This window comes from Homo sapiens, chromosome 5, assembly GCF_000001405.40.
Source record: "Homo sapiens chromosome 5, GRCh38.p14 Primary Assembly".
NCBI lineage: Eukaryota > Metazoa > Chordata > Mammalia > Primates > Hominidae > Homo > Homo sapiens.
The window spans coordinates 99,853,457-99,868,710 of NC_000005.10; positions in this window are offsets into that span (position 1 = coordinate 99,853,457).

The window sequence follows — 15,254 nt, forward strand, 5'->3', positions numbered from 1 at the left end:
ATAATTTGCTTTTCAGAGAGGAAAAGTGAAACAATGTTAACTTCGGTATAAATATACTCACATAGAAATAAATGTGTGTGATATTTGAATAAGTAGACTAAAAGAAAAAAATTGAAAACATTTCTTTTAAAAGCAAGTCTTCTTGCATACTACATTAGGTAGAAAAGAGATATGAGAAATATTATCAATCTGCTACACCAAGGAAAACATCTTTAGTTTAGATTATTATCTTTAATAATAAGAATGACTTTCTCACACTAAACAAATAATTTTGAAGCTGCATTTAAAACTTTATCTCCTTGATAGTTATGTTTACAGTAAGAAATTATATTTAAAGGAAGGCATTTAAAGGAATGTTCTCTAAGAAATTATCTGTGTTGGAAGATAAACAGATTGCATCCTGTAACTTGTTTGTTTATTTCCAGATATGAGTCCTTGAAGCAAAGGCAAAGGAATAACACCAGGAGAGCAAATACTGCTAGGAGGGAATTGAAAATAAAGGAAGTCACATACCCGATATCAGAGAGATATTTGGGAGGCTCTGCTGGTTGGATAAGGAGATAGTCAGAGAAACCAGAAGGTCTGTGCAATGAAGGTGTACTTATCTCAGTGTTTCAATAAAATGGATTAAAGCATGCGAACATATACACACAAGTCAGTAAGTTGTGTTTCAATGTACAAAACATATACCTTCAGAGGTAAAATGCAGCGGTTTAAACAAATGGCACACATACACAATAGCTCTGCCTAAGGCCTCTGCATTTCCAACTCAGTGAGGGTTGCCAGAGGCAACTTCATGTGCAATGAACTTATCTAGCTTTAAAAATGAGAATTCAGGTTAAAGACTTTTATTTTATTACCATGACAGAGTACCATGAGGTAAATGCAAAGGTTCTGGCAAAAGAAAAAGTGTGCCTGTATTAAGTCTAAAATGTCCACTCTTTTCATGCTAACATTGTTAAAGATGTTAAATAAGATTTCATATCTTCTAATATTTTCAAATAGTAAAATTTCATTTATATATATATTGTTGTGGAATATATAACACTTTTTCTCCAATTTTGGCATTTCTATCATCTCTCTTTCAAAAAATATTAAATCTCATAGTAGTTATTTCCTGCATTACAGGCTTGAGCTATAAACTTTAAAATCTGATGAAAATGATGAATCGTTTCTCCATAAAAAATGTGCATTCATGCATGGAAAAAGATGCAAACAATTTCAGGCCATTTGTGGACCCCTTGAGGGCAAAGTTTAAAATCTATGATCCAGAGAAGATATATGTAAGCAGGCCTTTGCTATTTCCAGAATCAAAATCACCTCCACTACAGCAGAGGAGACTGGCTTAGGGTTAACGATTGAGTGAACAGTAAATAGTGCATGCACAGCTTCTTGAGTGCAAGAAGATCATCAAACAGGAGTGAATTTGCATGAATGATGGATGGGTATATTTTTTCTCTTTGGTTTATGTTAGCTGAAAAGGTAGGCTACAGTAACCAAAACAGCATGGTACTGGTACCAAAACAGAGATATAGATCAATGGAACAGAACAGAGCCCTCAGAAATAACGCCGCATAGCTACAACTATCTGATCTTTGACAAGTCTGAGTAAAACAAGCAATGGGGAAAGGATTCCCTATTTAATAAATGGTGCTGGCAAAACTGGCTAGCCATATGTAGAAAGCTGAAACTGGATCCCTTCCTTACACCTTATACAAAAATCAATTCAAGATGGATTAAAGACTTAAATGTTAGACCTAAAACCATAAAAACCCTAGAAGAAAACCTAGGCATTACCATTCAGGACATAGGCATGGGCAAGGACTTCATGTCTAAAACACCAAAAGCAATGGCAACAAAAGTCAAAATTGACAAATGGGATCTAATTAAACTCAAGAGCTTCTGCACAGCAAAAGAAACTACCATCAGAGTGAACAGGCAACCTACAACATGGGAGAAAATTTTTGCAACCTACTCATCTGACAAAGGGCTAATATCCAGAATCTACAATGAACTCAAACAAATTTACAAGAAAAAAACAAACAACCCCATCAAAAAGTGGGCAAAGGACATGAACAGACACTTCCCAAAAGAAGACATTTATGCAGCCAAAAAACACATGAAAAAATGCTCATCATCACTGGCCATCAGAGAAATGCAAATCAAAACCACAATGAGATACCATCTCACACCAGTTAGAATGGCAATCATTCAAAAGTCAGGAAACAACAGGTGCTGGAGAGGATGTGGAGAAATAGGAACACTTTTACACTGTTGGTGGGACTGTAAACTAGTTCAACCATTGTGGAAGTCAGTGTGGCGATTCCTCAGGGATCTAGAACTAGAAATACCATTTGACCCAGCCATCCCATTACTTGGTATATACCCAAAGGACTATAAATCATGCTGCTATAAAGACACATGCACACGTATGTTTATTGCGGCACTATTCACAATAGCAAAGACTTGGAATCAACCCAAATGTCCAAAAATGATAGACTGGATTAAGAAAATGTGGCACATAGTGAGCCAAGATGGCTGAATAGGAACAGCTCAGGTCTACAGGTCCCAGCGTAAGCGACGCAGAAGACGGGTGATTTCTGCATTTCCATCTGAGGTACCGGGTTCATCTCACTAGGGAGTGCCAGACAGTGGGCGCAGGCCAGTGGGTGCATGCACCGTGCGCGAGCCGGAGCAGGGCGAGGCATTGCCTCACCTGGGAAGCGCAAGGGGTCAGGGAGTTCCCTTTCCGAGTCAAAGAAAGGGGTGACGGAGGCACCTGGAAAATCGGGTCACTCCCACCCGAATATTGCGCTTTTCAGACCGGCTTAAAAAACGGCGCACCACGAGACTATATCCCACACCTGGCTCAGAGGGTCCTACGCCCACGGAATCTCGCTGACTGCTAGCACAGCAGTCTGAGATCAAACTGCAAGGTGGCAGCGAGGCTGGGGGCGGGGCGCCCGCCATTGCCCAGGCTTGATTAGGTAAACAAAGCAGCCAGGAAGCTCGAACTGGGTGGAGCCTACCACACCTTAAGGAGGTCTGCCTGCCTCTGTAGGCTCCACATCTGGGGGCAGGGCACAGACAAACAAAAAGACAGCAGTAACCTCTGCAGACTTAAATGTCCCTGTCTGACAGCTTTGAAGAGGGCAGTGGTTCTCCCAGCACGCAGCTGGAGATCTGAGAACGGGCAGACTGCCTCCTCAAGTGGGTCCCTGACCCCTGACCCCCGAGCAGCCTAACTGGGAGGCACCCCCCAGCAGGGGCACACTGACACCTCACATGGCAGAGTATTCCAACACACCTAAAACCCATCTGTACCTCACCATCATCAAAGACCAAAAGTAGATAAAACCACAAAGATGGGGAAAAAACAGAGCAGAAAAACTGGAAACTCTAAAACGCAGAGCGCCTCTCCTCCTCCAAAGGAACGCAGTTCCTCACCAGCAATGGAACAAAGCTGGATGGAGAATGATTTTGACGAGCTGAGAGAAGAAGGCTTCAGACGATCAAATTACTCTGAGCTACGGGAGGACATTCAAACCAAAGGCAAAGAAGTTGAAAACTTTGAAAAAAATTTAGAAGAATTTATAACTAGAATAACCAATACAGAGAAGTGCTTAAAGGAGCTGATGGAGCTGAAAACCAAGGCTCGAGAACTACGTGAAGAATGCAGAAGCCTCAGGAGCCGATGCGATCAACTGGAAGAAAGGGTATCAGCAATGGAAGATGAAATGAATGAAATGAAGTGAGAAGGGAAGTTTAGAGAAAAAAGAATAAAAAGAAATGAGCAAAGCCTCCAAGAAATATGGGACTATGTGAAAAGACCAAATCTACGTCTGATTGGTGTACCTGAAAGTGATGTGGAGAATGGAACCAAGTTGGAAAACACTCTGCAGGATATTATCCAGGAGAACTTCCCCAATCTAGCAAGGCAGGCCAACGTTCAGATTCAGGAAATACAGAGAACGCCACAAAGATACTCCTCGAGAAGAGCAACTCCAAGACACATAATTGTCAGATTCACCAAAGTTGAAATGAAGGAAAAAATGTTAAGGGCAGCCAGAGAGAAAGGTCGGGTTACCCTCAAAGGGAAGCCCATCAGACTAACAGCAGATCTCTCGGCAGAAACCCTACAAACCAGAAGAGAGTGGGGGCCAATATTCAACATTCTTAAAGAAAAGAATTTTCAACCCAGAATTTCATATCCAGCCAAACTAAGCTTCATAAGTGAAGGAGAAATAAAATACTTTATAGACAAGCAAATGCTGAGAGATTTTGTCACCACCAGGCCTGCCCTAAAAGAGCTCCTGAAGGAAGCGCTAAACATGGAAAGGAACAACCAGTACCAGCCGCTGCAAAATCATGCCAAAATGTAAAGACCATTGAGACTAGGAAGAAACTGCATCAACTAACGAGCAAAATCACCAGCTAACATCATAATGACAGGATCAAATTCACACATAACTATATTAACTTTAAATGTAAATGGACTAAATTCACCAATTAAAAGACACAGACTGGCAAGTTGGATAAAGAGTCAAGACCCATCAGTGTGCTGTATTCAGGAAACCCATCTCACGTGCAGAGACACACATAGGCTCAAAATAAAAGGATGGAGGAAGATCTACCAAGCCAATGGAAAACAAAAAAAGGCAGGGGTTGCAATCCTAGTCTCTGATAAAACAGACTTTAAACCAACAAAGATCAAAAGAGACAAAGAAGGCCATTACATAATGGTAAAGGGATCAATTCAACATGAGGAGCTAACTATCCTAAATATATATGCACCCAATACAGGAGCACCCAGATTCATAAAGCAAGTCCTGAGTGACCTACAAAGAGACTTAGACTCCCACACATTAATAATGGGAGACTTTAACACCCCACTGTCAACATTAGACAGATCAACGAGACAGAAAGCCAACAAGGATACCCAGGAATTGAACTCAGCTCTGCACCAAGCGGACCTAATAGACATCTACAGAACTCTCCACCCCAATTCAACAGAATATACATTTTCTTCAGCACCACACCACACCTATTCCAAAATTGACCACATAGTTGGAAGTAAAGCTCTCCTCAGCAAATGTAAAAGAACAGAAATTATAACAAACTATCTCTCAGACCACAGTGCAATCAAACTAGAACTCAGGATTAAGAATCTCACTCAAAGCCGCTCAACTACGTGGAAACTGAACAACCTGCTCCTGAATGACTACTGGGTACATAACGAAATGAAGGCAGAAATAAAGATGTTCTTTGAAACCAACGAGAACAAAGACACAACATACCAGAATCTCTGGGATGCATTCAAAGCAGTGTGTAGAGGGAAATTTATAGCACTAAATGCTCACAAGAGAAAGCAGAAAAGATCCAAAATTGACACCCTAACAGCACAATTAAAAGAACTAGAAAAGCAAGAGCAAACACATTCAAAAGCTAGCAGAAGGCAAGAAATAACTAAAATCAGAGCAGAACTGAAGGAAATAGAGACACAAAGAACCCTTCAAAAAATCAATGAATCCAGGAGCTGGCTTTTTGAAAGGACCAACAAAATTGATAGACCGCTAGCAAGACTAATAAAGAAAAAAATAGAGAAGAATCAAATAGACACAATAAAAAATGATAAAGGGGATATCACCACCGATCCCACAGAAATACAAACTACCATCAAAGAATACTACAAACACCTCTACGCAAATAAACTAGAAAATCTAGAAGAAATGGATACATTCCTCGACACATACACTCTCCCAAGACTAAACCAGGAAGAAGTTGAATCTCTGAATAGACCAATAACAGGATCTGAAATTGTGGCAATAATCAATAGTTTACCAACCAAAAAGAGTCCAGGACCAGATGGATTCACAGCCGAATTCTACCAGAGGTACAAGGAGGAACTGGTACCATTCCTTCTGAAACTATTCCAATCAATAGAAAAAGAGGGAATCCTCCCTAACTCATTTTATGAGGCCAGCATCATTCTGATACCAAACCCGGGCAGAGACACAACCAAAAAAGAGAATTTTAGACCAATATCCTTGATGAACATTGATGCAAAAATCCTCAACAAAATACTGGCAAACTGAATCCAGCAGCACATCAAAAAGCTTATCCACCATGATCAAGTGGGCTTCATCCCTGTGATGCAAGGCTGGTTCAATATACGCAAATCAATAAATGTAATCCAGCATATAAACAGAGCCAAAGACAAAAACCACATGATTATCTCAATAGATGCAGAAAAAGCCTTTGACAAAATTCAACAACCCTTCATGCTAAAAACTCTCAATAAATTAGGTATTGATGGGACCTATTTCAAAATAATAAGAGCTATCTATGACAAACCCACAGCCAATATCATACTGAATGGGCAAAAACTGGAAGCATTCCCTTTGAAAACTGGCACAAGACAGGGATGCCCTCTCTCACCACTCCTATTCAACATAGTGTTGGAAGTTCTGGCCAGGGCAATCAGGCAGGAGAAGGAAATAAAGGGTATTCAATTAGGAAAAGAGGAAGTCAAATTGTCCCTGTTTGCAGACGACATGATTGTTTGTCTAGAAAACCCCATCGTCTCAGCCCAAAATCTCCTTAAGCTGATAAGCAACTTCAGCAAAGTCTCAGGATACAAAATCAATGTACAAAAATCACAAGCATTCTTATACACCAACAACAGACAAACAGAGAGCCAAATCATGAGTGAACTCCCATTCACAATTGCTTCAAAGAGAATAAAATACCTAGGAATCCAACTTACAAGGGATGTGAAGGACCTCTTCAAGGAGAACTACAAACCACTGCTCAAGGAAATAAAAGAGGATACAAACAAATGGAAGAACATTCCATGCTCATGGGTAGGAACAATCAATATCGTGAAAATGGCCATACTGCCCAAGGTAATTTACAGATTCAATGCCATCCCCATCAAGCTACCAATGACTTTCTTCACAGAATTGGAAAAAACTACTTTAAAGTTCATATGGAACCAAAAAAGAGCCCGCATCGCCAAGTCAACCCTAAGCCAAAAGAACAAAGCTGGAGGCATCACACTACCTGACTTCAAACTATACTACAAGGCTACAGTAACCAAAACAGCATGGTACTGGTACCAAAACAGAGATATAGATCAATGGAACAGAACAGAGCCCTCAGAAATAACGCCGCATACCTACAACTATCTGATCTTTGACAAACCTGAGAAAAACAAGCAATGGGGAAAGGATTCCCTATTTAATAAATGGTGCTGGCAAAACTGGCTAGCCATATGTAGAAAGCTGAAACTGGATCCCTTCCTTACACCTTATACAAAAATCAATTCAAGATGGATTAAAGATTTAAACGTTAGACCTAAAACCATAAAAACCCTAGAAGAAAACCTAGGCATTACCATTCAGGACATAGGCATGGGCAAGGACTTCATGTCTAAAACACCAAAAGCAATGGCAACAAAAGTCAAAATTGACAAATGGGATCTAATTAAACTCAAGAGCTTCTGCACAGCAAAAGAAACTACCATCAGAGTGAACAGGCAACCTACAACATGGGAGAAAATTTTTGCAACCTACTCATCTGACAAAGGGCTAATATCCAGAATCTACAATGAACTCAAACAAATTTACAAGAAAAAAACAAACAACCCCATCAAAAAGTGGGCGAAGGACATGAACAGACACTTCTCAAAAGAAGACATTTATGCAGCCAAAAAACACATGAAAAAATGCTCATCATCACTGGCCATCAGAGAAATGCAAATCAAAACCACTATGAGATATCATCTCACACCAGTTAGAATGGCAATCATTCAAAAGTCAGGAAACAACAGGTGCTGGAGAGGATGTGGAGAAATAGGAACACTTTTACACTGTTGGTGGGACTGTAAACTAGTTCAACCATTGTGGAAGTCAGTGTGGCGATTCCTCAGGGATCTAGAACTGGAAATACCATTTGACCCAGCCATCCCATTACTAGGTATATACCCAAAGGACTATAAATCATGCTGCTATAAAGACACATGCACACGTATGTTTATTGCGGCATTATTCACAATAGCAAAGACTTGGAACCAACCCAAATGTCCAACAATGATAGACTGGATTAAGAAAATGTGGCACATATACACCATGGAATACTATGCAGCCATAAAAAATGATGAGTTCATGTCCTTTGTAGGGACATGGATGAAATTGGAAACCATCATTCTCAGTAAACTATCGCAAGAACAAAAAACCAAACACCGCATATTCTCACTCATAGGTGGGAATTGCACAATGAGATCACATGGACACAGGAAGGGGAATATCACACTCTGGTGACTGTGGTGGCGTGGGGGGAGGGGGGAGGGATAACATTGGGAGATATACCTAATGCTAGATGACAAGTTAGTGGGTGCAGCGTACCAGCACGGCACATGTATACATATGTAACTAACCTGCACAATATGCACATGTACCCTAAAACTTAAAGTATAATAAAAAAAAAAAAGAAAATGTGGCACATATACACCATGGAATACTATGCAGCCATAAAAAATGATGAGTTCATGTCCTTTGTAGGGACATGGATGAAATTGGAAATCATCATTCTCAGTAAACTATCGCAAGAACAAAAAACCAAACGCCGCATATTCTCACTCATAGGTGGGAATTGAACAATGAGATCACATTGACACAGGAAGGGGAACATCACACTCTGGGGACTGTTGTGGGGTGGGGGGAGGGGGGAGGGATAGCATTGGGAGATATACCTAATGCTAAATGATGAGTTATTGGGTGCAGCGCACCAGCGTGGCACATGTATACATATGTAACTAACCTGCACAATGTGCACATGTACCCTAAAACTTAAAGTATAATAATAAAAGAAAAAAAAAAGAAAGAAAAAAGAAAAGAAAAAGTTAAGGTCTCAGATAATAGAAAAACCAAATAAAGCAAATCCCAGGACTTCATGCTCTGACATAGAACACTATAGACACAACAGATAAGAAGCCAAAAATGCCATTTGAGCAAGGGTCCACAAACTAAATCCCATCACCTGTTTTTGCATCTCTCACAAACATGTTATGTACATGTGTAAATGGTTTTTAAAATTTAAAAATAACATTTCATGAGATTTAAATTCAGTGTCCATAAAATGCTGTTGGAACACAGCTAAGCTCACCCGTTTACAACTTGTTTCTGCTTTCTATTGTTCTGTAAGAGCAGAGCTGAGTAGTTTTAATAGAGACCATATATCCTGGTGTATTATTCCATTTTCATACTGCTATGAAGAAATACCTGAGACTGGGTAATTTATAAAGAATCAGAGGTTTAACATACTCAGAGTTTTACGTGACTGGGGAGGTATCACAATCATGCGGAAGGTGAAAGAAGAGCAAAGGCACATCCTACATGGCAGCAGGCAGGAGAGCGTGGCAGGGGAACTGCCCTTTTTAAAACCATCAGATCTCATGAGACTTATTTACTATCACAAGAACAGCAGGGGAAAAATCTGCCCCCATGATTCAATTACCTCGCACCGGGTCCCTCCCATGACACATAGGGATTATGGGAGCTACAATTCAAGTTGAGATTTGGGTGGGGACACAGCCAAACTATATCACCTGGAAAGCCTAACATATTTATTACCTAGTCCTTTACTTAGAAAATTTGCTGAACTCTGATTTAGAGAATGTGGGTAATTAAATACAGTACTGTGGTAAATGAATCAGGAGAGTAGGTTTGACAAGAAAGCATGATGCAAAGGGTTGTACTCATTTACTTTTTTTTTTTTTTTTTTTGAGATGGAGTCTCACTCTGTCACCAGGCTGGAGTGCAATGGCACAATCTTGGCTCATTGCAACCTCCACCTCATGGGTTCAAGTGTTTTTCCTGCCTCAGTCTCCAGAGTAGCTGGGACTACAGGTGCATGCCACCACTCCCAGCTATTTTTTGTATTTTTAGTATAGATGGGGTTTCACCTTGTTGGCCAGAATGGTCTCAATCTCTTGACCTCATGATTTGCCTGCCTTGGCCTCCCAAAGTGCTGGAATTACACGTGTGAGCCACCGCACCCAGCTTATATGCTTCTGTATGAAATGGAGTTTCCAAAGAATTTATTTTGTGCCAGCCTGTGGATAGAAGCAAGACAATCAGTCCACACACTTTAAAGGAAATGTACATTTCCTTACTGTGTTTTTGGAATGCAAAAGGGAACTATCTTGGAGTTATGCTTCTTATGTTCTTTACTGCATGCATTATGAGGGCTCTATATTGCTGTCTTCTATTACTTAAGACATAAAATATTTTATATAATAATTGTTAAGTGATATATGTTCAGAAAAGTGCATGAATCATAAGTATATTATGCAATGAATATCTAAAATGTGAATACACTCACATAACTACCATTCAAACCTAAAAATGTAAGACTTACTCAGAAATCCTTTACCACCTTTCACGGTCATTCTTTCTACCTCTTATTCAAGTAGGTCCTAACCTGACCCCTAAAAAATAATAGACACGTTTTTGTTCTTTATATAATTTTCATTTGAATCTTGCTTCTTGCACTCAACATTATATTTGTAGGTAATTCATTCAAGTTCTCTAACATGAGCTCATTTATTTATATTGATCTATACTGTTCCATTATAAGTATATATGTAAAAATGTATATCATCATGTATGTCCTGCTCTTCAAAAAATTGTGTTTTATATCAAGTTTAGGGCTATTTCTATTATACAGAAGTGGAATTGCTAGGCCATGGGACATATATATGTTTATCCTTGGGAGTTACCTTGGTAGACTTCCCAAACTGTGGAACAAACCCGCAATGCTACCAAAAAGTTATGAGAAATCCAGCTACTCCAGCCTTCCAAAGTGCTGGGATTACAGGGTTAGCATCATTTTCTTCACACTGCCTTTTCTCCATCTTTTAGCACAACTGGTAATTTTGTTGCTGTTGTTGAAAGCCAGACACGAAGTATCAGGAGCTGAGGAAAATAGGTCTTCCTTGTGAAGCTTTACGTTAAACTAGTTAGCAGTGAGTTGTGTTAATATTTGTTGTAAGTTCCAGAGGCTTCAAATCCCTCTTGTGTTCCTTTTTTCTCTCCCTTGTTGTGTTTGAGTTTTCCTAGGAACTCCTCCATAAACAGAGTCTTTGCCTTGCAGATCTTTCAGCTATAATTTACTGCTATCATACTAGAGCCCTGTTAATGTGGTGGTAAAGGGAAGTATTGTACAATCTTATGATTAGATCTCTGTCTTTTATTGGGCCTGTGGTTATGGGCTATGATCTCCAGGAGAATTTCTTAGCTTCCCCCACATTAATAGATGTGGCTGGAGTTGGGTTAACGCCTTTCTGCCTAAGTGGGATAAGACTTACGTGATGGCTTTTCAGTAGGGGATAGGGGTTTGTTAGAGAGAATATTCTAGGAATATTTAAAAATTGTCACATTTCCCATCCTTTACAGGATCCAGAAGGTAATCTGTCTTAGCTCATCACCTTGAGAACCTGGTGAGGTTTCTAAAGGAAAAACTCACAAAAGGGTGGAGCCTCCCTAAGACTTCAGCCTCTTGGAGTTTCTCTTTCTCATGTTAGTCTCCACACAGCCTATAGCAATGCAACAAAAATGTCATTTTAGTGTTTATGTCTCCCTCAGTTGCTGCTCAATGTTAACAGGTCCCTTGGCTGTGAATCTCTGTATTCGCCTGTGTCTCTAGACCTCAGAGTGGCTGTTTGCATTATGACCTCAATTATTCAATGGGTCCAAGAAAAGCTTTGATTTTCAGGTCCTTGAGCTTTCTTCTTGATGTAAGGATACATGTGACAACTTCCAAGTACTTTATATGTCAAAGTTGAAACCTGAAGTCCTCTGTCTCCTCATTTGAATTTCCTGCTATTCCTGTCATTTGTTGTCTAAATATGCTCCTTCTTTTATCTGTCAACTAGATATCTCTGCTGTGATTATGTAAGATTACATGACTACTTATTTCTAAACACTTTCCTGCATTTCATCTAACACTTTTTATTTCATAACTGACTTGGTATCTTCAAATTTCAGCTTTCTTGTTTCTATAATGCACAAACCATGGTGACAATGAACACTCCACTTTACAAAACACATTTGCAGCATTCAAGAAAAAGAAATACTGAGCTTGAGTTAGAAACAACTTCAAATTTTCAAATTTCAATTAAAAACAAAAACAAAAAAAAGTTGCAGCGCACTTTAAAATGAAACACATCTGAAGCACTTCAGTGGGAATATTTCAAGATTAATTTTACTTTTGAAATTGTATTGCCTTTTCATTAATGATGGGTTTGTTTCAGAGATGGACTACATCATGACTATCACAATAAATGATCTTTAGGGTCCCTAAACTTCTCAGAATAGCAACTCTAAAGTTAGTCAAAAAAAAGTGTTTACACTCTGTGGTATTGTAGTTTTACATATCATCTCCATATTTCAGAATGACATATTTGTAAAAAAAAAGAAAAAGTAGTAATAAAAATGTGGAAAAATTATGCCCAGTTATAATGAAAAGTGTACACTAATTGTAAAGTTAGACTGATTGCTGCTTCTCTTAATTAAGCTATGGATATAAGAAATACCTATTCAGTAATCCTTTTGTAACTTGGATTGTAGGCATCATTCAAAGAGGAAATAACAAAAGCATCACTAAAGTACACAATGTACTAATTACACAGCTACAATAAACTTTTCTTAAAAATGATCTATGGGTTAATATATTTAAATATATTAATGCTTAAATAATTAATGAGTAATACTATGACAACTGTTTAGAAAATTAATAATGAGACATGCATATTTTATCAATGTTTAACGTTTCCTGAAGTTATTATCTACTTAATTAATTATCATACTCCTCATCAGTGATTTATTACATTCTAAGGAATAATTTCATAGTGGATATATATTTTAGTAAAATGAATCATTTTTGTATGTCTCCAAAATTCTGGAAGTACCTGACACTAATAAATTCCTACATTTAAAATAATTTTAAATAACAAAAAAATGTTGTCTTAAACACAAATAAAGAATTTAAAAAATAAGTACTTGTAGGTGTTATGTAACTGCTATTTATACAATAGCAAGATATATAACTTCATGTTTGACTTTCCTAGGCTGTCAGAAATAAAACTTATTTGCAAATACATTTAGAGGCTTCCTGAATTTTCTCAGTATGTCTTAATACTTTGTGGGATACTATAAAAATGTCACATTCGCTTTCTCTGCCTATTTCCATGTCCTTGGAATACGGCATTGCAGCATCTCCAATCAAAAGTCTGTCGTTTCCCAAATCATGAATCTGGGTTGGTTTTATAATGTTTTTAAACTAAGTTACAGTGATAAGGCACAAGTTTCCAGACTAGGCCTCACAAAGCCTACTTGCTCACTCGTGAGCAACCTTAACCCTCAAATGATCATGTGAATATGTCAAGGGTGTCCTGATTAAGAAGAGTCATCTTTCAGTATGAGTCCCATCTTTCAGTATGAGAGCTTGCCAACTACCATATATAAAAATGAGGTCATCTAAAATCATCCAGCCTTAAGCTGTCACACAAGTAGGCAATAAGTACATATGAGAGACTCAAGCAGAGATTAGCTGAGTAGACCCAAAGAAGATGAATGTTCCTGCAAACTCACAAAATTGAAGTTAAATAAAAGATTGTTGTTTTAAGTCACTAAGTGTAAAGGAGATTTGCTATGTAGTAAAAACTACTTGATACATACTTTCATTTTTAAGTCATAATTTTTATAAATGCTTTATTGAGATATAACTCAAATATAATAAAATTCATACTTTTAAAGTTTATAATGAAATGGTTTTAGTATATCCACACAGTATTGCAACCATCCTTCACTATCACATTTTAGAACGTTCTTATTACTCTAGAAAGAAACCATGTGCCCAATAGCGATCTTTCCCTATACCCCCTACACCCCAGCTCTTGACACCACTAATCTACCTTCTGTCTCTATAGATTGGTCTGTTATGGACTTTTCATGTAAATTAAATCGTAAAATATGAGGTAATTTGTGACTGACTTATTTTATCTGGCCTAATCTTTTCAAAGTCCTTCCATGTTTTATCATATATTAGTACTTAATGCCTTTTAATTGCATCAATTTGTCACTTGATAAATATTTGGAAAACCAATTCTACCTACTTTTAGCTATTATGTATAAACCTGCTATTAACATTTGATTACAACCTTTTGTGTGAAAATATGTTTTCAAGTTTCCTGCGTGTATACTTTGAGATGAAATACATAGGTTATAAGTTAACTATATAATTAGCATTTTGAGGAACTGCTAAATTGTTTTGCAAAGTGGCTACACAATTTTACTATCCCCAAAACCTTGTATGGGGGATCCAATTTCTCCACATTCTCATCAACATTTGAGATTGTCTGTCATTGTGATTACAGAAATCCTAGTGAGCATGAAGTGTGATCTCAATGTGATGTTGATTTGCACTCTCTTCATGATTAATGATGTTAACTATTTTTTCATATGCCTGTTGGTCATTTGTAAAGCTTATTGGAAGAAATGTGTATTCAGAAAATTTGCTCATTTTCAATATATTTGTATTTTATAGTTGAGGTGTAAGAGTTTCTCATAAATTCTGGTTTACAGGTCTCTAATCAGAAACATAATTTGCAATCATTCTCATTATGTGGGTTGCATATTTACTTTCTCAGTAGTGTCCTTTGGGAAAAAAGAAGAGGTTTTAGTTGCATTGATGTTCAATTTATCTATTTATTTTTCTTTTCATACTTAAGAGTTCTGTCTCATATACAAGAAACTAGTGCTTAAAAGTCAGTAAAATTTACTATGTTTTTGTTTATAAATTTTATAGCTTTAAATTTTATATTCAAATCTATGAAACATTTTGTTGATTTTGTATATGGTGTGAGGTAGCAGTCTAACTTTCTTGCTTTGCATATGGATATTCACTTGTTTCAGCACACATTTGTTTAAAAGATAATCCTTTCCCCATTGAATGGCCCTGAACTCTTATCAAAATTAATTGACCATGAATATATAGCCTTATGTTAGACTCCTGATTTTCTTCCCTTGATACAATTTATATTCTTATGCTGGTACCACAGTATCTTGGTTACTGTAACTCTGTAGTAAGTTTAAAAATTCGGAAGCCCTCCAACATTATTCTTCTTTTCAAGGTTACTTGAATATTCTGAATCACTTCTATCTTTATATAAACGTTATGAGGAACTTGCCAAC